At 35.5% G+C, this 24,896-nt stretch overlaps 1 long non-coding RNA gene across 1 annotated transcript; it reads left to right on the plus strand.

Annotated features, from left to right (window-relative positions):
* Window positions 1–7: 7 nt before the first annotated feature.
* On the plus strand, window positions 8–24,393 carry LOC107986902 (uncharacterized). The gene is made up of 3 exons (XR_001745736.2): window positions 8–1,358; window positions 11,865–12,108; window positions 21,006–24,393. It is a non-coding gene; the product is annotated as an uncharacterized LOC107986902 (long non-coding RNA).
* The last annotated feature ends 503 nt before the right edge of the window (window positions 24,394–24,896 follow it).

The following is a 24,896-nucleotide window of genomic DNA, read 5'->3' on the forward strand; positions in this document are numbered from 1 at the left end:
AAATGGACAGTCAACGGAGGGCAGTAAGCAAATTAGTGATAGAATCAGACTTGTGTTTTGAAAAGCTCATCCTGGCTGCTGTGCTTAGAATAGACTGTGTTGTAGAAAATACAAACAGGGAAGACCCCATAGAAAGCTGACGCCATATTCTAGGTGAGAAACTATGGAAATTTGGACCAAGGTGATAGAAGGGGAGGTGGTAAGAAACAGTCACATTCTGTATACATTTTAAAAATAGAACAAAGGATTGGCTGAAGGATTGGATATGAGATGGGAAAGAAAGAGAGAGTTCAAGGAAAATTGCAAAGTCTCTGGTTATCATGAGGAGTATGTGAGATCCCACATATAAAGTATCAAACATAATGCCTAGGACAGAGTGAATGCTAAAAAAGGGATATTCTGGTATACATTTCAGTGTGTACATCTTAACTTATTCACCCAATAATGGCTATGAATTCTATCTATATAATCAGTTTCTGTTCAGGAACATGAATGTAAATTGCAAAGTAGTTTATACATTAAATTCTCATAGTAGGAATTCAATAAAGATTTGAGAGAAGACGTTTACACTTGGTACCCGTCAATATTGGGCAACCACCAACTATATTTGGTACTTAACGAGCCTTTATAGAAGTTCCCAAAATGTAAAAATGAAGAGAACTAGAAAGATTAAGATAGAAGAGTTTAAAAAATATATGTTCATGCAGGAGAAAAGTGAAGGCTTTTCAAGGTTACTAAGGTAAGTCTAAGGCAACGATTCCTAGAGCAAATCAAGGGGCTGTGAAAGCTAATGGACATAGCTCAAGATTTACTTTTGGGTTTGGAGAAACTAACATTGAATTGGCTATTTCCAATAATAAAGTCATTAGCCCAGGGAAGGAAGATGAAATATAAAAGGAACGTTTAGGTACAGAAAAGTATATTTTAAATTATCTTTTGGTTGAGAAAATATTTCAGATAAATGCTGATGAAATAAATCAGCATTTTATTTCAGTTTTTTAATGGTTTTATAATAACAGTGAAGGGATTTATTCTCTGCCTGTTTACTATGTTCACATGGAGATCTTAAATGTTTGCCAGATATAGTGGATAGATTAAAAGAGCCACCTTGGTAAGAACTGAACTATTTTGTTATATTACTGTTTTTATAAATGCTGTTATATTGCTCTGTAACACACATTCATGTAAAGTATTTGTTTATATTTTTAAAAGTATATATAATGTCTGAGTATGCATTTCAGTATTTCACAGAAACAAATTAGAAAAGTCACTAATTTTTGAAAACACTGAAGAACTGAGAGAGCAGAAATCACTAAATAAGGATATTGTCTGCAGTGATTAAAATGGTGGCTAACAGGGTGAGTGAGAGATTATTTTAATAGGTTTCTTTTAAATTTTTCACTAAATTACCAGCTTTGTAATAAAGTTATTGACAGGCAAGTGCTGTTATAAAAATTGTACCTCCACCTGCTAACAAATGGCACTCACAGTTATGAAAACTGACATTTTTAGAATCAGGTGCTTCTGTGGCTCTCTTCTGAAAGGTATTCCCCCTTGGAACTTGCATTTTAATTACTAATTATTTTTTCTGCTTTATTTCTGTGTAGTGATCAAAGTGCTTGACTGAGCTTTATTTAAATAGGATGTATGCATTGTTTCAAACTAGTTTTGCATAAAATGTGAATATGAATACCACAACTAGGCGATTTATTTGAATCTCGAATACATTAGCAACTATTACCTTCTGTCTTTCATGTAGCTGTCTTACAATAATATTAAGAAGAATATTACATGTGCCTGAATTACTCATTTTTTTCAGCTTTGATTTACATATTATTCACTTAAAACTAGCAATGTAAAATTGCCTTTAACGTTTACTGTTTCAACTTTAAAGTTTTTTTTAATCAGCGAAAGCGAAGTTGGTGAAATATAATTAAAATTTCTCTAATTATGTTACCTTTAGGCAATGCTGTCTTCTAGATTTGTAACATTCTCTGTTACCGTGCTATGAAATTATGGAGTGTACAATGTTGGAGTGTATGCTTCTAAAATCAATGCATTAGAGATTTGTAGAAATGCTATATAACTCATGTATTAAAAGTATTTCTAACATCTAAATGTATTGCTGTTATATGTTTAAACTTTCAAAGAGCAATAATCCTGTATTGAATTAAAGACCTTAGGAAAGTTTGACATTTTGAGAGTGTATTTTTGAATTATTTGGATAATATTTTAAGTGTAAAAGGATATAAGAATCACCAAAATAGTTCTATTAATTTCTTCCTTAAATATTTTTAAAATACAAAAAGTTACTATTGCCTGAGATTAACTATGGAAACTTTTAGACTGAAAGGAAAATGATTCAGAATGTTGCAAGCAATTAAAGTTATAAATGAGAATCTTTAAGTCAACTATAAAACATCCCACGTCTCAAATAGAAGAAAAGGCTTTTATTAATTTTTTACATTGTAATTGGAATGCTCAAGGCAGGTTAAAATAAAGCTGCTTTATTTTTTTTCTAGAACTAGCTTAATTTTACTTCATAAAATTATTTGCCTTTTGATTAAGAAACCATTTTATGATTTGGAAACTGTTGTAACTGACATCAGAAATCCCAGACTATTTCCTATAAAATTTCAGAGCTTTTCTTTTTTTAAATGAAAAGCTTAAACAAACTCAACTTTTTCAATTACATGGACTTTTTTTCTCTTGATAAAGAAAATCACATTTCGTATCACAGCCTTATAACTGCTATCACTATTGCAATATAACAAGCAAAGCTGGTTTCTAAAAATGAATATTTCTAGTACAGTGGAGTTACATTTTAGCTTAGCAATCCTTATGTTATATAGTCTAGAAATCCTGAAGTCATCACTTAGGAAAAATCTTAAGTGCATTCTAAACTATACATATTATCTTAAAGGGAGTATGGTAATGTAGATATTATTATCCATACATTTAATTCAACAACAAGAAAAAAAAGCTATTTACTTAGCACTTCTTTCACTGATAGAACTGGCAATGGTATATTTGGCCCTTGCAAAAGTCTAACAAAAGCTGTTTTTCTGATTAATAAGAAAACTAAAGTGCAAACAGGAAGATAAACTTTTAACTATTTCAGTGATTGTAAGAGAGTTAAAAGTGGGTCAGGAAATGATCTAACATTATGAGTTCAGTTCTGATTTTTACTGATAGTCATACCAAATAACCTTGTTCTTGCAGGTTAGAAAACTGGAAAACAAGCCCATTTGCTAAAAGACAGAGAAGTTTGCCTGAGATCAAAATCATAAACTGCAAATATTACTCTAGTTTAATGTCTAACCTACTTACAGGCATTGGCCAAGTTACTTAAACCTCAAATGGTTTGTCTATAAAATGGGGATTACAATAATCCCTTACCCTGTGATGATACACAGAAAATGAAGCCTTGCTCTGAATACTTTTTGAAGTTCTTCAGCAAACAGCAAGCCATTATTCAGATATGCATAAAGGCTATCATCTGTAAGAAAATAGCATTTGAGAAAAAAATAAAATAAAACAGGGCTGTAACCAAATGTGATGACTCTGTTAAGATTATAGAGATGATCTTGATATATACAACACATTTCCTTCATTCTATCTCTATTGGATGTTGTTTAAAATAAAGTTTTTGAAGAAAGACATTACACAAAATAAGTAAAACAGAGATGGGGCATCATCTAGAAGAGATTGAGGTAGAGAAATTAGGGAAAATGTGTGGGTTTTTAAAATTCTAGTTAGAACAATTGTAATAGGTAAATTACTTGGGAAGATTTCAAGTAAATGACATTTAGGAAAGCAGGGAAGGATCTGGGGTCTGTGTGTACTTCTGGTGTAATTCTTAATTATGTGAACCCTTAGTCACAGAGTTTCTAAAAATGGGAATATATGCGAGCTGACTCCTCCCAAACTCCTGCTTGCAGCATAAACTCATTATCAAATCATTGCCTTTGAAAGGTGGCAAGGATACTTAGCAAATGCAGTTCTCCTTTGGACTGTGGGCTGGCCCAGTTATGAAAAGATTCAACTAGATCAAAACAACAAAAGGAGCGACTACAACTAAAATAACAATAAAATGAGCAGTTTTAGCTTGGCTTCCATTTCTAAAAAGACAATTGTAAGACATTCTAGTCCAGTTCTCCAATCTCTTTTAGAAAACATTTTTAAACAATTTTGTTTTACTTTTATTACTTCCTATAAGGGGGATACAATTTTTTTTCTAGTGTCTGATGTTTTCAATACCATGTCTTTTGCAAACCTTTTTAAAGTTCCTTAAAAACAAACAGGAATAATCTAGGCTATAGTGGAAGTGTACCTTGACAATTTGACAGGAGAGAATGCTCAGGAGTAATAAATGTGTATTTCTCCCTAATATCTTAAATATATCTGTTTTTTTTTTCTTCATTTGGCATGAGGAGTGTCAAATGCAGAGTTCATGGGGATTGTTTTCATTTACAAACACAGTTTTCCTTTAAGGGGGAAATGTGTGCTTGCTTAATTTTTAATCACAAAAGGTATCTGTGTGTGCCCTGTTCATCTTACAAGTGAAGGCTGTGCAATTGTGTCACAAACATGCATGTGTACAATTTTGTCTGCCTCTCTTATAATGTTTAAAAGTCCATTAGAATAATCATCCATCATCCAGGAAATTTAACGACAAGCAGATATCATATTTTAAAAATAATCTTTTCAATTGACATCTCATACCATTAAACTTAAAAGATCCCACCTTATGCGGGGGGATGTGGGTGGGGATGCGGGTAGGGGGAGCGATTGCCCAGAGCACATACATTAGTCAATAAGAAACAGACTGCTTTGATGTGTTTTGCTATGGCAAGCCAAGTTGCTATTAATTATAGGTTGCTTTACCTTTCAACACATAATTTACTTTTATTAAATGTAAAATATATTTTATATTATGATTATACCAGAGCCAGGCTGGCTGATGTTTCTTTTTTCTGCATTATGTGATGACAATGACTGCTATTACAAAATCTAAAATATTTTTGAGTGCGGATGATACCTAAAGTATTAACATCTCGGAAACACCTTTGAGAGTAATCTCCGGGAAGTAAAAATGAAACTTGTAAAAATCATTCCATTCAACCCTACATAATTCCTTTTGTTCACTTGAATTCGATTGAGGTCAACAGAGTTTTGGTTTTCTGTTTTCCATAAAACAAAATACCCTAATCTAACCATGATTATACACATTAACGTAAAATTGAATTTCACATAGTTTGATTTTATTAACCGAAAAGTATTCTGAACCTGGTGAGTTAATCCAGTCCTTATTTAAAATTCTATAATATTTAAAGTTCAGGCATAAATATCAGTTTGCAAAGAAATATACTTTTTTTCAAGATTCATGGTGAGTACAAGCAAGATTTATATATGAAAACAACCTTAAATTTCTTCCTGAACTTTTCCAATAGAACCAGTAAAAGTTCAGGTCATAGAAATAACAAAGAAAATGTCTCCAAGTAAATGTAATTTTTAATAATAAAATTGATTTTATTCTTTGGTTTTGGTTTCCTTAAATCAGAGGATAGAGGCTCAAAAATTATTTAACTTCCAATTAAACAGTTTACTTTTAAATTAAATAATGCAAGAAAAGAGGATTTTGGATCTGGTACATTTAAAAACATATAATCAAATTAATATTAAAATAGAAAACACAGCATTTTGTTTACTTTAATCATTATTAAGTTTGTGACCACTTAACTCATAGAGTGTGATGTGTAAAAAGAAAAGCTCCGCCATCCATCTGTGAGGATTATGTCAGCCACAAGCACAGTACAATTACTACTGGAAAAGCGCAATCCTTTCCCACTTCCCACCCCCTTATTTTTATAGCATAAATTTTCTTGCAGATAACACAATCACTTTAAAAGACACAAATTCTTCCACTAAAAAAAAGTTAATTTGATAGATGTCAGTGCTCGTTTGCCATAGATATAATTCAAGTGCAGTAATTGCAATTAACACATTAAGGGTTGTACTTCAATTTGAAGAAGGCCAACTATGTTGGAATGTGTGTTAGACTCAAAGACTGGAGATATTTTTCTTCCAAAAAGCCACCAGGTTATACACTTTCTCGAGCAGTCATCTGTAGAGTCAATAGCATTTGTGATAGTAACAGACAAAATAAAAATCAAAGGACAAATGTTGACCACATAGCTTTACAGAGGAAGACGTGACTGCCCTGATTTCTGGTATAGGAGTCCAGACTAAGCATTCAGGACAGCAGGCTATGACCTGCCCTAGCAACTAACCATACTTTACATAGAAGACATAGCCCTTCTATTTTCCAACCACGTTGAGCATGATCCCTGCTGGGGACCGAATCTCCAACTCTGCAACCTCCTGCTTCTACAGCTTAATTATTTAGGATCAAATAGACAACTAGGTACATTAACATGACCCTAGAAGCCAAACCTGTTACTCTCTTCAAATATTCAATTGACCTTCCCAAGTAAATATTTCCCCCTGACCTCTCTACCACTCATTTTCTCTTAAATTGGTGGCTAATGCTTTAAAAAGTCTCCTGATATTTTGCAAGCAGCTTTAAAGTAAACAACTCCCGACTGTATAATTTTAGCCTTATTGACTGGTACACTGACAGAAACCAAAGCAAGCAAGAGGTCTAACATACAGCATTATGTTAATCACACCAATGTGTTTTGTTCAAAGACAAGTCAGAGATCTTTGCAGCAGGCTTACAAATCTGCAGCTTCTGTATTAGCAGAGCGTGTGTGTGTGTGTGTGTGTGTGTGTGTGTGTGTGTGTGTTTAAAATGCTGAGAGTACCTACTTTGAAAGAATGAGAAAAGAGTAAGTGGAGAATATCAATACCCAAAGCAGAATAAGGATTAATCCAAAGCATGAAAATATAGGTCACAGCTCTTTCCATGGCCTAAGTACCACCGGCTACATCACTTACATCCAGATATTTTGGGAAAATTACCAGCAACAAGAAGTGCTTAAGTGGACAGCAAACACATCTTGTCTTAACAAGGTACTTTGGGTTCCATTTACAATCTGTTGAGTTTAGCATTACTCAACTATATTGCTTGCCTTAAAAAAATAATGTAAATGAGCTAGAAGTTGAACAGTTGCTTTGCCTGTATTTTTTTTTTTTTTCAGGTTTAGGTGGTAGGGCACAGAAAGAGAAGAATGAATACGTAAAGCCAGTTGTATTACTTTAGTATATAAGAAAAAAAGAATATAATTAGGTTTATGACATTAGTGGCCCATTCTAAAATAATGCCTTTTTGAAGCAAACACAAACACACCCCATACAAATCCATTCCAGTTTCAATGAATGGAAATGGTGGTAACAGGAAGAGTAATGCATCCACTCCATTTGTAAACAGACATTTTCCTACATGTGAGTACATAATCCCTGCTGACATTAATGGGAATGACACACAGGCAGTGATGAGAGAATAGCCCCTTTTGTTTGTTCTCATTCACATTACTCTAGAGTCCATTTTACAGCTCCAGCTAAAACTAGTTGAAAACGCGCCCGGTGGATTGATAATGGAAAAATGAGATTAACTAAGTGAGCAAATAGCCTTACTTCTTTCTGTGATGTGGGAAGCTAAACAATGCAATGGAAAAAAGATCTTGATTTTACTTTTTCTTTTTGTTCTTTCATTTTCCTCCATTACCCGCTGTATTTAAGAACCTCTTCATGCTTGTAAAATTTCCTTTCCTGGTTCATGTAAAAGAGTAATAAAATCATTATAGTTTTCCTTCGCCAAAAGGTACTTTAGAGACTAATCTTAATTTAGATCCAGACACTGCTAAGTCAAATACATCAATGTTGGGAAAACGAATTAGAAGCGAGGTCATTTTTCTTACTAATTTTTTAAAAAGATGTTGCAGATTGAAATTGCCTTAGGAATCATTTCTTAATGCTAGGGCCACATTACGAAGTCATAATTCTCCCGCTTTGACACTTGGATTTTCAGTGGCTTTTAAAAAGGAATCTACATTAGGAATTGACTTTTTACTTACAGGTCTATACTAAGGCTGAAATTCCCTTACTGAAGTGGAACAAAAATCAAGTTTTCAAAATAACTGTGCTCTAAATACCACACCACAGGTAGAGAAAACCCCAAATAACAGTTTATGCTTTTAAAAACATCCTTCAGAAAAAATTTTCATATGTCAACATTATCTTATAGAAATAAGCAGTCTAAAATGAATATGCCACTTGCACCATCTTTTTTTTGTTCTCTTCTCCTTAAAACAAGCAATATGTTTTTATTTTTTAATCCATTTTGATCCAAAGGGTAAAATTGATAGGATCTCAAACTGGGGACCACAATCTTCATTTACAGGTGAAAAAGAAAATAAACCCATTTTCAGTCAATAAAAAACTGTTAATATGTGAACACACACACCTAAAAAGAATTTAGTGAAATAAAAACTCTTTTTTCATATTTACTTTTATAACAATAAAAATCCACAATAGCTAAAAACACTTGAATGCTAGTCAAATTTGGGAAAGCAGAAAGAAAGTAATTCTTAAGAGCTGAACTATGTTACAGTGAAATATAAGAATATTAAAAAGAAGATATTGATTTGATCTGTTAACTGCATGCACTGAGATAAAGCCAGGAATATTCTTCTTCCCAATAGCTAGAAGTTTTAGTTATTTCTCCTTCCCTTCCCCCTCTCCTTCCCTTTCCTTCTCCTTCTTATTTTTCTCCTTCTTATGAGGGTCCACAGAAGAATCTCTGAGACTGCTTTTGTGCACTTGTAACCCAGCCACTATGAGGACCCCGTAGAATCGTCCAACACATCGTTGTGCAGACTCTTCATTTCTGAACAATGTATTTTATAATATACTAGGTCACCCACTCTGGAGGTGCTTGTCATCACTCAGACTACACAATATGAGAAGTTGCCAAGAGTTCTTCACTGCTTTCCAGATTCACTCATCATGAGCAAAATATTAATTAAGTTCCTTTTCCTCCAAAAGAATTCTATTTTATTCTCTAATCAAGAACAGAAAAGGAGAAGCAGAAGGGTATCTGCTCTTAGTTACTCCTTGCCTTTTTAATCCCCAACATGTGGAATTATATAAACCTAAAGAATATGCAGATTACATTGAATATTATCACCTTTTTAAAGGTACTGTTTAAATTTTTAGAAAAATATCAGTGTTTTTCTGTGGAATGCAACAGCGTAAACATGCTCTCATGGATACATTATTATAGCTATGGCAGCAAGTAATTTTTAGTTTTCACATTTTGAACATGTTTGTAGTAGACTGGATTTTCCAAATATGGCTGCAACAATATCTCCCATCCCATATTCCCCTCTTACAAGGTGACTTTGACAATCTTCCCATCAAGAGGTGGGATTGATGCTTTCTGTTATTGAAATCAGTGGGGCTCTGTGGCCATTATGAACAATGACTTCTGAGGTGAATTCATTAGGGAAGCCCTCGGCTGCAATGTAAGCAATCTGGTTACCCTGAGGCCTCCATGCTGTAAGAAAGCCCAACCTAGCACAAGCAAAGGAACCACATGGAAAAGCCCTGAAACTGCCCGAAGAGAGAGACGTGAGAGGACAAACCCCAGATACTCCAGCCCCATGCTGTTCCTATCTGACCATAACCATATCAGAGAGACCTTGAGCAAGAACTGCCCAGTGGAGAGCACCACCCAAATTTGGGAGCCATAAAAAAAACTTTGGAAGTAGTAGTACGATTGTTGTTCTTTTAAATCACTAAGTTCTTCTGTGATTTTTGGCACATACCTAGATAAATGAAACAATGGCTGATGCTTTTAAAATTATACCTTATAATTTTAGAGCACTTTTAGAATCATATAAAGCAGAAATATTTATTCTTGCCTGGCAAGTTAGTCTTTACTTAAAAAGAATATAGTCATTGGTTAGATATTGCATTAAATGCATCCATAATCAATCAATAAATATTTATTGCACCCTCGAGGCATCTATCTCATATTCTGTATATGAAAACAAGGACTCACTTAAAGTAAGTGTTCTACAAATAATTAAGTTAAATTAGTCTTGTCAACAAAATAATTTTGTTTAACTAGATATGATAAAAAGACTTTTCTAAAATATAGTGTAATATTCATTATCACATGGAAGTAGAGTAAGCCAACCATAAGTGCAGTTTTTTTAATGGTTCTTTGGGGTCATATTGTACAGGTTATGGGGGCTGGATACTTTTATATTGAGTGTCGCCAGCTTGCTGGTGGACATCAGCTAAGGCTGAAGTCACCTAGTATAACTTATCACTTTCAACCTGTGGCTGCAGTCAGGTTCTGCTCATAATCTAGTCTCTTTTATGTCCCAGGAAGAAAAACTCAGATACACAATCTCATTAGACAAAAATAGATTTAACTGGTCATGGGGCTTTACTACACCAGAGATTTCCAAAGGTGTTCTGTGCATTATTTAGGTTTTTTTAGGCTGGTTGAAACTCAAAATTTTAACTAATAAGTGAAGCTTTACTGTCCTAAGAATCACAGCCTCATGTTTGGGCAGAATGATTAAGTTCACCTACAGAGCTTGAATCAAGGTACTATTCAAATTCCTTCATATGATTCTTCAATAAATGGTTGTCAAGTTTCTGACTGAAGAGACTAAACATGTGAAGGTAGTTAAGTATCCCGTCCCTGGAGTTTAATGAATGTAATACTTCCCAGAGGTCCTCGTATGACATATACTAGTTCTCCTTATTATACTCCTCACTGTATAAGGCCTTTCCAAATTCATCTGGCCCTATGCCACCACATCCCCACCTAATAGCACCAGCTTTCTCAGCCTTACTTATAACAGTTCCAGTGCCCAGGTCCAATCTTACTGGACCCATGAAGACTCTAGTTTTCCCAGGTTCCCAGAGGGATTGGCAATAGAACCAGAAGTCCTAGGATTTAAGATGGGATGAGGCACTCTGACAAACAAAAGGCAAGAATGGGAAGAAAGTGCCTCCTGCCTCTCTTGACCTCAAGATGTCCTAAATGCTAAGCAACTGATAATGTTTTTTGTGGTGCTGTGTCCCAAATGAACAAAGCATATGGCTTTAATCAAGGAGTGAAAATAGAAGATCATTAGCCCCTGTCATCATTCTGAGAGATCCTCTTGTAAAATTGGTACCTCTCATCCCTACAGTTAGGAGTCCAATTCCCAGGGAGGATGCTTCCACAAGGGGACACAGAAAAGTTCCTACTAAGTCAGAAGTTAAATTCACCTGGTCATTTTTTTATACCTCATACCAGTGAGCCAGTAGACAAAGAAGGGAGATTCTGTACTGACTGGGATAATGAGCTCTGATTATTGTGAAGAAATAGGTTTGCCACTATATATTAGAGGTAGATTTTGTCTGGAACCCAGAATATTCATTGAGAAACTCTGTTTCCACGGCTAAGAATAATGGTGAATGGGCAAATGAAGACCCCTGAAAAATGGATGTTGTACTATTCCATCTATCAAGCAACAGAGACCAGCCAAAATATTGGCCAAACATGAGGAAATCTAGAAGGAGCAATAAAAGAGGGTAATGATACATATTGGAGTTCCAGGTCTAGCTACCTCAGTGAGGGACTGTGGCTTGGTTGGCTAATCTTCTTTAAATATTTTTAGGAGGTTGCCTTGTCACCATATTCCTGGAATGTTCTTGCACTTTTCATCTCAGGGGTGAGACTGTCTAGTTCTTATATGAAATATGGATATGATAAAGAGTGAAAATGCATCTGAGTAGCTCAAGTAGTAGACTATATTGGATACAATTTATGGGCCTGTAATCTGTTCTCTCATGACGAGAGCCCTGCTCATTTTTTCTGTTGCCTTGACTCCTAGGATCTCCAACTGTTGCACCTTTCTTCAAAGATACGGGCTTCTACAAGGTTTTCATCATAGCTACTACAACAGGAGGTCCAGTAGCTCTGGGCTCAATGCCAAAGCAACCAGATCCATGGAGTCTCTGGCCTCTACGTGGCTAACCAGAAGGCTTGGCAAATTCAGGCTGGAAATACAGAACATGTAATAGTTTGTCGGACAACTTTTAACCCAATATGGACAAGATATGGGAAGAAGCACACAAGTAAGTCACTCTTCATCTTCAATACAGATTGCTCTATGTATCTCTCTGGAGACCTCGCAAAAGACCAGGCAATTGGCTGTTTTCTTATGAGGCTCTGAACTACTCTGTGAGATACCACCTTATATTTCCTTTCCATTTTCCCCTCCCTCACTTCTTATTTTCATGACTTTTGTTGCAAAGGCATTATATTGTCCAATGAAACATTAACATCTTTGATAGGGAATCACACCAAGATAATTTTTATTCCCTGAATAAATTCTAGTCTGCCAATGTTCTTGGTATGAGACTCATAGAGTAGATTTGTGATATCACCTCCCTCATTCCAAAGTATATGTATCTAGTAACAAAATCTCAAATCATAATAACTTGATTATCTATACCACAATTAACCTCTTATGCAACTTTGGTAAAATAAAACTTCTTATTTTCATATTTGCTAATAGATTTCTGTCGTTCCTCATAATTAGCAAATTTATCATAGTTGACTGTCCTTATATTAAATTTTATGTACCATTCTAGTTTGTATAGTCTCTTTAGAATTTTATCTTCCAAAAGTTTAGATTTTTTGCCCTAAACAATGTCAACTAAACATATAATCAATATGCAAAAATACAAGTCAGTGCTCTTATTAAAATGATTAATAAAACTATTGGACAAGGCAGAATGAATATAGCCTCCCATGGCACTGCACTGTAGACCACCTTACATATTGGTATTGACTGTTGTTAAGCAGCACACATTGAATGCAGAAGTTCAATCATTTATGAATCTACCCAGGTGAACTATTACCTATTTTGTCTGTAAGAATTCTTAGCTGGGCATGGTGGCTTACACCTGTAATCCCAGCACTTTGAGAGGCCGAGGCAGGCAGATCACGAGGTCAGGAAAATGAGACCATCCTGCCTAACATGGTGAAACCCCGTCTCTACAAAAAATACAGAAAATTAGCCAGGCGTGGTGGTGGGCGCCTGTAGTTCCAGCTACTCGGGAGGCTGAGGCAGGAGAATGGCGTGAACCTGGGAGGTGGAGCTTGAGGTCAGCTGAGATCCCGCGGCTGCACTCCAGCCTGGGCGACAGAGGGAGACTCCGTCTCAAAAACAAAACAAAACAAAACAAAACAAAATAAAAGAATTCTTACTTTGTAATATGTTTCCATCTCACAGTCTATATCTTTAAAAAAAGTTAGCGCTAACTTATTTCTATTCAATATAGAGAAGCATTTGAGAATTCAATTATGACTGATGATGTTATTTTAAAGCCAAATTAATCCCTTTGGAAAACTTGAAGAAAGATAAAAATGATTCTATCAAGTTAATAACTTAAAATGTGCATAATTTTTAATTCAGCAAATCTACGTCTAAAATTTTCCCAAAGATAATAACTGTGAATGTGTGCAAAATATACCTATGTAGATTTTTTTTGTAGAAGCAAAAATGAAAATAGCTTCAATATCCAATAGTAGAGGTTCAACTAATTGAAGTAGGCAAATCTGGAATTCGGAATAAAATTTTCCCATTAAAAATTGTTCCATTACTATTTAGTGACATGGAAAACAATATTCATAGTAAGTGAACAAACAGCTAGATATTTGCTCTCTTTCAGCTAGAGTTATGTTGGGTGAAGGCAGTAAAAATCTTTGATTATTAGGAGATCAAAGAATTGTATTTACTATTCTATGGCTAAGCATGGCATCTTGTGGCTACCAATGTTCCCTGCCCACCAACTAGCTGAATCAGTTACTACTAGGACAAGTGTTACATACGTAAACACACAGAAGGAAATAGACAGCTAATAAAATAAAAATTTAAAGTAAACCAGAAGCACTGTGATGTGGAGATTGCATAGCTTACGTGTGTGTGTGTGCGCGCGTGTTTATCACGTGAGAAATATTTAAAGGTACTTTTTGATTTGTGTAAAGTTAGAACTCAAGATGCCAGTTATGGTACTTGACGAAGTTGTGTTTAGAAAGACAGACCTGCACCAAGAAGCAGCCAAATGGTAATCTTAATTCAGTGTGTACCTACAGAATATGAGGTTGTTATGAAATGACTTGGAAGCAAAGAACTTTCCACCTAGATTGACAGAGAGAGAGAGAATAAAGGATGCTCGGGTGTTAATGAGTGTGTTCACTTAGAAATAAATTGTCTTTCTCTTGGAGATCAAAGCCCAGTTAGGGTGAAATGAAATGAACTCTTGGCAAATCACTGATCCCATTTCTGTCTTCACCTGTATAACTGTGTATATAGCCAGCATCTGATAACCTTTCCTTTTTGGTTCACCTGTATTTTGTGCTAATTCTGACCTCGTATTTGAGTATTCTGACTCTGGAACACACCTTAGTAAAAACAAACAAACAAAAAAACACATTCATCTCATTGATATGAATTATAATGACTGGCAAAGCTTTGTGGTTTTTTTCTTTCTGTTTTTCCTATTTTTATATTTTTACTGAGGTAAAGCTTACATACACAAACTGCACAAATCAAAAAGGACAGATTAATGTTTTTTTTCCCAACTTGAACATGTATGTATAATGAGAACTCAGGTCAAAAAACAGAACATTACCAGCCCCCTCAAAGTAACCTGTTTTGCCCACTTTCAGTCACTATCTCACTCCCATACAGGGGAATTACTTTTCTGAGTTCTAACATCAAAGATTACTGTTGAGTTTTTTCTGAATTTTGTATTTATGAAGTCATAGAGCATGTTATTTTCTTGTGTATGAATTCTTTAACTGAGCATTACGTTTGTAAGATTCACCTGAATTGTTGTAGTAGTTGCAGTTCATTCATTCTCATTGCTGCATTTTCCATTGTGGAATAAACTACAGTTTATGTATCAAGTCTTCTATTGATGACTATTTAAATAGTTTTCATTTGGTGCTATTAAGAGAGTGTTGTCAGAACATTATAGTTCTTTGAACATATGTATATATTTCTGCTGGTTACACATCAAATTGAGCTATTACAATATCAAAGGATAGACGTATGCTTAGATTTAGTAGATACTGGACTGGCAAAGTTTAAGATGTTATTTTCTCTGGCTTATTTACATTTTAAGAAGCATTAACAACTCTTACACCATAGGGCTAAATATTCAATTGTGAAATTAAACTACCAAGGAGATATTTTGAGTATCAAGGAAACCTAAACTACCTGGGAACCATGGAAAGCCAGCTTGGCTTTGCCTAGAGTTAATTTTCATGCTGGCACAGAGGGAGATCATAAAAATATTTTTGCCAGTTTATATTAATGAAAAGTTGTTTCCATTCTGAAAATAATTATAAAATTCTTATAAGACTTTAACCAAATTTGTTACAAGTCTAATAGAGCAAACTTTTTTAGATTGTTTGTTTGAAATCTATAATTTTTTTCACTTAAGACTTAGCTTTTTAAAATTATAGAAGAATATGTCATTTTATATTAGTACTAAAGAAACATTAGAGCTTTAGAATCAAGGTTTCTTTTGAAAGTGATACATATTTTTAGGAAAAAAATTGAATCAGAAAATTTTCAAAATATTTTATGAGTGTTGTGAGGAAATTCTTCACTCTTGAGACAAATACTACAAAGATAATTGCTAAACCTGAGAGCTCATCATTAAGAACGTAGGCTTTTTATTAAGTAAGAGACTACAAATTAAAACAGAAGTAGAATGTGTGTATGTGTGTATTTTTTAGAATAAGAAAAGGATTTCTCGAGATTAGACACATAGGTATTAATTTGTATGTACTTCTCTTATATGGGAGAGCTCTGTCTCCTGTAAAAGATTATGAGTCCCTTAAGGATGAAGAATGTCTTAGTCCTCTTTTTAGCCAAGGACCTAGCTTAGTGACAGGCATAAATTAAGACCTAACTGTATATTTGTTAAAGTGAGTCTTTTAGAGTAGGTTATACATCAAACCCCCTAAGAATACAATCTTTCATAAATGGAACACATAATTATTCTCTGTTTATCAGATGGAATGAGTCTGACTTTTGGTGTTAGATCTGAATTTGAATCCATCAATTAATGATCATGTAAGTTATTGAGGACTCATGTCTCTTACATAAAATGGGGATAATTCTGTTTTTTACATGAAATAGGAATTATCTCGTGGGTGGTAAAGATGAATTACCTACCGAAGCTCCTGGCTATCTGAAAATGTAAAAGAGAAAAGGAAACAAGAGAAGAAGGGACAGATTAGACTATGAGTGCAAGAGAGTAGGACTTCTGGAATTAATTTACCCATACTAATTTGTAGAATTAAATAAGTATCCTCAATGCTCTTTCTCTTCCTTACTCAGTCAGGTTGTAAATGGTAAACAGCCTAGTAAAATATAAAGAACATGATGGAATTTGGAGTTTGAGAGATTTAGCATTTACTATGTTGATTAAATGTAAGTAATTGGATTTTTTCTAAGCCTGTTTCTCTTTGTAAAACAAGGATAATAAAGAAGGGCTGTTCATGGCTTGGCATGGTGGCTCACGCCTGTAATCCCAGCGCTTTGGGAGGCAGAGGTGGGTGGATTACTAGGTCAAGAGATCCAGACCATCCTGGCCAACACAGTGAAACCCCGTCTCTACTAAAAATACAAAAATTAGCCAGGTGTGGTGGTGCATGTCTGTAGTCCCAGCTACTCAGGAGGCTGAGGCAGGAGCATCGCTTCAACCTGGGAGGCAGAGGTTACAGTGAGCCGAGATCCCGCCACTGCACTCCAGCCTGGCGACAGAGCCAGACCCTTTCTCAAAAAAAAAAAAAAAAAAAAGTGTTGTTCATATTAAAGAAGACGACGTAAAGTCTTCAAGTGTCTGTCTCATGATAGATTTAAAAAATAAAACTTTAGTTATTCTCTTTTGTTTTCCCTTTCTCCTTTTGTGTTTACCAGCTAATGACTCAGAGCTATCCCAAGAAAAAGAAAATGGAAAGAAACCAGAAGGTATTACACTAATTAAATTGATATTCCCCTGGCCCAACCAAATTACAGCATTCTCTGTATTTTATCAGTATTTGTCAAGTTAGGAAAAGACAGAAACACTGGATGTGTATGTGTTCTACCACTTTGCTTTCCTCAGTTTTTCAGCAAAGCTTGTCTATTGCTTAAATAGCAATATTTGGTGAAGGTTATTGAGGACCTTAAGAAGTAATAATTAACTAACCTTTAAATCTGAATTTAAAAAAGAGAATAATTACATAATTAATGTCAGCCTTCCCTTTCTTCCCAATCAACTCCTCTTCACAAGGTGCTTTGCCCTAGGAAAATAGATGGGAACTTTTCATCAAGAAACTTTCCTAATATTTAAAAATCCTGACCATGGGCTTTTAATCCTTTCATATTAAACACACACATACACACACACACACACACACACACACACACACACACCCCAACAACGATTGATATAACTTTTACCAGCCTTTCTCTAACCACTACTTTTCTTTCATGCTATAAACTTGAGATTCACTTGCATATTTTGCCCATGAATATCAGAGATCCAAACATAGGACACAAATATTCTTTTCTCTAATCATAACAGCACCTTCCTTTTTTTGCGTGTGGGCATTAAAAATGTTTTTCTAACCATGTGGATAGGATAGGAATGGCCATCTTCTCAGAGATCCCACCTCCCTGGCCATAGCAACAGCCCAGCAATGGCTGTTGACCAGAGCCAGAGCAGTTAGAGCTCTTGGGATTGTGGCAAAAGCATGCAGGACTCAGTCCCTTTAAGGTAAACTCGGGAAACTTCAGTTGGGAACCTCCCCACTTTTCTCTCTCTCTCCCTCCCTTTTCCTCTTTCCTTTCTTTCCCTCTCTCTCTCTTTTTCCTTTCCTTTCCCTTCCATTCCTTTCCTTTCTCTCTCATTTTTTTCCCTTTTAAAAAAATATATATTGCAGTATAATTGAAGTACACTAAACTGCACATACTTAAAGTGTATAATTTGATCTGACATATCTATTCACCTGGAAAATCATCACTGCAATGAGGAAGCTAAATATTTTTTGCTCTCCTTTTTGAAAGCGTCTAAAATTGGAGAACATTTTTGCTCATGCACCCAGTTGTCCCTAACACCTGTATAGGGTGTGAGTGTGTGATTTGATTTGTGCATCTTTTGATCAGATGAGCCAATAAATCTATATGCCTAAGGTGGTGCAAGTTGGGTTACCAGCATTTGCTACTGAGAGTCATGAATAAATGTCCTGATTACTAGCACATTGAGGAAGTTATTTTGCAGTCATTTTATTAGCAAAACTAAAATTAATTTTCAAACTTTTATTCATGCTAGGTAAAATGTGCAATAAAATTAATCCAAACTGCTCATGAATGTTTGAGGAATTCAAAGCAATTTAGAAGTCATTTGCTGTTTTACTTTTCATATTGAAAAAACTCAGAAAGTAACTTAAAAGATTTAATTCATGTTTCATTTTTCTGTTTCTCATAAGCCCTAGTAAACTATGCCATCTTTTTAATTTTTTGAGACAGGGTTCAACTCTGTCACCCAGGCTAAAGTAGAGTGGTGCTGTCATTACTCACTGCAGCCTCAGCTAATTGGGCTCAAGTGATCCTCCCAACTCAGCATCCTTAGTAGTTGGGGCTACAGGAGCACACCACTATGCCCGGCTAATTTTTAAAAATTTTTGTAGAAATGACATCTCCCTATGTTGTCAAGGCCGGTCTTGAACTCCTAAGCCCAAGCAGTCCTCCTAACTTGGCCTCCCAAATAAATATTCCTGCTATAAGATGTGATATGACAAATCTTTTGGTGGTCATTGGACCTCTGACAAATAAAAGCCTCTGACTAGATCATTCGTACTAAGAAGAAAGGCTATGGGAAGTTAGAGAGAGTCAATTGCTTCTTCTACCAAACTCCATATTTTAAAAAGATAGTCATCTTGCTTTGTGTGAAAACCAATTTAGAGGAAATAAAATGAGAGGAAAACTTTGTCAGAAAGACTCTTTCAGAAAAGTATATGTCTCTATCTCACCTTAATCTTTGATAAGTCTAAATTTGCTAAAACATCTGTAATTCGGTTTTTGGATCTAAAAATTATAATAAATGGCCAGGCCCGGTGGCTCATGCCTGTAATCCCAGACTTTGAGAGGCAGAGGCGGGTGGATCATGAAGTCAAGAAATCGAGACCAACCTGGCCAACATGGTGAAACCCTGTCTCTACTAAAAATACAACAATTAGCTGGGTGTGGTGGCGCTCGTCTGTAGTCCCAGCTACTCGAAAGGCTGAGGCAAGGAAATCGCTTGAGCCCAGGAAGCAGAGGTTACAGTGAGACAAGATCACGCCACTACACTCCAGCCTGGCAACAGAGCAAGACTCTGAGGTTAAAAAAAAAAAAAAAAAAAAAAAAAAAAAATATATATATATATATATATATATATATATATATATATATATATATATATATATATATACACATATATATATATATATAAAATAAATTAAAATTTTAAAATAGTAAGTACTGGACAAAAAAGAGCAGGGGATGAAAGTTTGAAAGGTCATATCAACATTGTTCACTCTTTAAAAATCACCTTGGCTGTTTAGATTTAATTCAATTTATGTCTAAAAGTAACAATATTTGTACTCTTCATTTTCTAGCATGATTGTGGATTTCACTTGCAAAAGTACATTCTTGTTGAAGTAATAATATAATCTATAAATAGAATAAGAAATTGAATTCAGAATAATTGAAATTGAAATTGAATTGAAATTCTTATATAAAACTTAAAATGTGAAAACAACTAAGATAGATCCAGTTAACTTTGCTCATTTGTTAGTCAACCATTAAGCCCTACTCAGTCTCTAGGAACAGTTGGAAAAGCCCTACCTCAGATTTTCTTCCCTGGGATATACAAATTCATTTTAGCTAAGAAACTAAGCAAAAAATAAATAGAAGAGGAAGACAATACATTACATTTCTCATGGTCACAATTTCATAGTTCTTACCAAGTGGAAGAAGGCTCAGTGCCTGTCCATTAGTTAGTTTGCTCGTTTGTCGCCCAGGCTGGAGTGCAGTGTGGCTGTCATGGCTCACTGCATCCTTGACCTCCCAAGCTCCAGGAATCCTCTCATCTCAGCCTCCCAAGTAGCTCGGACTACAGGCACACACCACCACAACTGGCTAATTTTTCTATTTTGGGTAGAAATTAGGTCTCAGTATATTCCCCAGGCTGGTCTTGAAGAACTCCTGGGCTCAAGCGATCCCCTTGCCTTGGCCTCCTAAAGTGCTGGGATTACACATTAGTTGTTTTAATAGTTCTTTATGTATGCCTCTGTTTTTATATTGATCAGAGCCTATGGCGTACAAAGAAAGATACGTGTCATTTTCAAAATGGTTTGCAAATTTAGAAACATTTATAATGATATGATTTCCCCCGCGTAAGTGTAGAAATCTTGAGCAAACTGGTATGTGTTAGAATTTTGGTGAGATCACAACAGGAATGGCACCCCACAGCAAGAATAGCATTCTATGTTTCACTCAGAAGACACTCAAAATGGACTAGAAATGACATTTAGCACAGAAGTACATGGTACACGCAAGTCAACTCTATTTTTCAGGTTTATGTGCGGTTCTTCCAAATTCCTCTAGCTCTACCTCCATCCTTAGCAGGCTACATGTCTCCTTCAGTAGGTGGATCACATTTTGTTAATTTTTGCAACCAGGGTGCTATGTACAATGTAAATGGTTGGTTTTTAAAATAGATGAGAACACCTTTATTGAGACTCTCTTGGGCCCAGTTAGAGAATATCCTGATATATACTGGGTAGGGGTGGAGGTATGGAGATGGAGGTAGGTGGTTCTGGTTGTGTTTGTCTTCACATTAATTCACATAAGTTATTTCATATTAATTCATATTAGTTATATTTGGGGCCTGGAGTCTTTAATAACAATTTTTATCTGAAGTCTTTTCTAGGACACATCATTTTAAGGGAAGATGGGAGAGATATGAAGAAGCAGCTGTGGAGATGCAACGCTGGACATGAAATGGGTGTGGAAGACAACGGAAAGCCAGTTGGTCAAGACCCTTGGGAAGAAAAGAATCTTTAAAAGGTCTCTGTTAGCGTGGGACTAAATTGTAATCAGACATTGTGAATAAGATGAAATACTAAAGAAAGAAAGAAAGAAAAATATAGGGCACATACAGAACTGATCAAGAAGGGATTATCAAGAGACAATTACTCAACTACCCATTTGCAAGTGAGCATATTCTCACCCAACACTGTTTTCAGTTATGATTGAATGGAAGCTCTAATTGAATAGTTCTTTGTGGTGTTCAAAGTCCAAGACAGCAAGTTGTTCTTTTGTATGGGTTCATAAGTTTTCCCAGAATGAACTGTAAAACACTCATGATTTCCCTGAACTGTGGCAAAGTGACTTACCCAGTTTCTGGCAAATTTATTAAGCAATACAGACTCCCTGCTTAATCCATTGGTTTAAACAATATTCAGTTAACACAAATTAGTGAATAAGCAGAGACATAGGTCAGCTGATCGAAGAAAGATGTAAAAGTAAATTAAAATAAAATTTATTTGAAAACAGCAATGGGTCAGAGCTAAAGCCCAGTACAAGTTAGAACAAATAAAAACCCATTAATCTGAAAAACCTTCTTGGGTTTACAAGAAGGCTTTTCTGATCTCAGGCTGTATTTATCCTCTAGATGGAAAAAAAAGAGGAGCAATAAATCTCTTCATATCAAAGGCCTGTTCAGCAGAAATGAATTGAAAGTGTTGGGTCAATTAGACTGAACTAGATCTCCCCCAGGCAAACCTACTATCGATACATATTTAGCTTCCAGACACCTTTAAAGGCAGCCTGGGAAAGGCTGGCTAGCAAAGAAAAAAAAAGATAATTCTAAAATTTGAGTTCCCTTTGAACTCCATCCACTACAGCAATAAAAAGAGCTGTTTCTGCTCTATTGCATTTTGTTGAAACAAAAAAAAAATAGACTGGAGAAATGAATAAGCTCGGCATATTATGTAGATAAAATGGTATTATGGCAAGAGAATGAAGAACAAAGAGCTAAGAACCAGATTCCTGTCGCAGCTCTGCTCTCATAGCTGTGTGACTTCTGGTCAGTCCTTAGACTTTGAAATCTATAGGCTACATGTCTGGAAATAAGAGGATAACAGATTATTCTTAAGTTTCTCTGTGATTCAAAAATATCTATGAATCTAAAGGAAGGAAGACAGTTATGTGGATTGGTTATTGGAAAAGAATCTAAAGTAATTGTTTCATGTATGCATAAAAGGGAAGATCCAGCTATAAATTGTCAAGATATCTTCAAAAACACCTTTTATTATTGAAAGCTACAAAGAGGACAAATAGTCAAATAAATTTTTGTAGGAACACTCATAAATAATATTTACTAGTATCTAGTGAGCATTTACTATTTGAATTACTTTTGTAGAAAGTCTTATTTAGTCCAATACAATCCTTTGAGATAGATGCCGTTTTATATAAATTTTATACATAAGTCAACTGAGATACCATTATAGACTCAGAATGTTCTAAGAGGCAAACCAGGATTTAGTCTCGTACTGTTCAAACTCTACTAATCACTGTGTAATTATAAGCACTCTTCTAGATCACCATTTGTAGATGGCATAGTAAAGTAAAGACATCTTCAGCTTGTGCTTCAAGCCAGAACATACACTGTCACATTTAAAACTCCAGTGTCTCTGTGATGGGCTTATTTGTATTATTCCTCTTCCTTTGGTCTAAGTGAAAATACTTTTTCTTAATTTCCTGAGACAATCTGAGAAAATGAATCTAGTGAAAATGCTAGAGTAACTCATTGGATTTGAGCGCTCCAACCATTGAAATACTATGGTATCAACTGGACTAAGAATCAGAGGACCTCTATTCAAGGCCTTTCTTTACTAATTGTGAGTGGGACCTCGAGCAAATTTCTCACCACTCTAAACATCAGTTTCCCAACTATAAAACAGAACTTTTCTCGCTAATATTACAATGTTAAAGAGGTAAAATAGAAAAAAGAAGGACTTTGGATCTAGAGGAGCCTAGATGGGAATTTTGTGAGGAGTCATGTGACCTTGTACAAATTACTCAAACGTTTCTGAGTCTCATGTTCTTTGTCTGAGTAATGGTGATGATAATAGTGATATGGACAGTAGGCAGCGAAATACTGGGCAGAAGAGAGCAGTGCCCCAGCAAAGGCCCCACCCTCAAGCCTGGAAACCCGCAGCCCTAAATGGGAACAAGCATTCCTGTTTTCATGCCCAAATGTTGTCTTTTGGCCCACCATGTCCCCCACTATCTTGTACCCATATAAACTCCAAACCTCAGGCTCCACGAGCAGAGGAACAGCAGAGCGGCAGAGCAGCAGGGCAGCACAGCAGTGCAGCAGAGAAGGAGAGAAAAGGAGTATATGAACGTTAGGAGGAGTTCGGCTGGGGATGGTCAGAGAGGAGACTGGCCACAGGATGGCCGAACTCCAGGGGAAGATCATCTTCCCACTAAATCCCCTTTCCAGCTCCCCATCCATCCCACTGAGAGCCACCTCCACCACTCAATAAAATCCCTGCATTCACCATCCTTTAATTCCGAGTGACCTGATTCTTCCTGGGTACTGAAAAAGGGGCCAGGTACCAAGAAGGCAGGGTGTAAAAGACTGTGACCCTGACTCTCCACTGAGCTTGTTTAACACTTAGCCACCCACGGACAGCAACTGCTAAAAGAGTATTAATTGTAACACACCTCTAGATGCTTCCGTGGGGCCAGAGCCCAAAAGCACTTGCCCTGGCTCCTGCACCTGCCCATCTGTGTGCTTCCCCTCTTGTAAGGGATTTGAGCACCCAGCAGCCAAATAAACAAGCCACACCCCTATGAGGGGGTCAGGGAACTCACCCATTTAAATAGTAACAACTTCACAAGGCTAAAGTATAGATTAAATTAGAGAACTTTCCTCAAATGTAGTAGTTTAACCCACAATAATGGAAAACAAATAACTAGAAGAGACTCTGAACATTGGTGAACCATTCTGTTTTAAATATAATGTATACCCACAAATTGTCTTTTGGGCATGTATGTTTTCTTGTATATTTGTTCGTTTATCTCCAGCAATAGAGATGAATTTGTGCTGAGACACTAATTTTCTTTCTCCTTACCTTCTTTTCTCTTCTCCTTTTCTTTTGTGTGGCAAAAATAATGCATTATTTTAAAAAATACTGCTGGCAAGTGTCCTTCCCAGTCCACATGGGGGCTAACCCCTCCTCAACCTTACTAAAAGGGTGGGCTCCAAAAACTAATTAGTCGTGTACAGTAAAAATAAGAAAATTACACTATTTAAATTGACGGTTTGTTTAAAAATGTTTTGCAAATTCACGTTTTGTTAAAATGTCTAACTATATATGTAATTTACATAACCTATGGAATCAAGAAAAGAATATCCCTTTCAGATATGTTAAATGGAATGAACAAATATGTACATCGCTATTATATGTGCCACATTCTCTTTCACCCAGATGCCATCTATAAAAAGCTCAGAAATGAACGGTAATTTAAACTATAAATCTATATTTAACACACTATAAATGAGTAGACTAGTGTGTATAATATTTTGCTTCTATCCCCCTTTGAATTAATCTAGTTCTTACTCTATATAAATATCTACTTGTTGTGTTCTTTTCATTTCATCAGGTGAGAAAGACTGAAAATGAAAGGCCCTTAAATGAGAAAGGTAATATGGAAAATAAAATGGATATCTCAGCCCTGTCATTCAAGTATCCCTAGTGCAAACATGTAATTTTGTAATTTATTGTCCAAAGAGGATAC

Source organism: Homo sapiens, chromosome 8 (assembly GCF_000001405.40).
Source record: "Homo sapiens chromosome 8, GRCh38.p14 Primary Assembly".
NCBI lineage: Eukaryota > Metazoa > Chordata > Mammalia > Primates > Hominidae > Homo > Homo sapiens.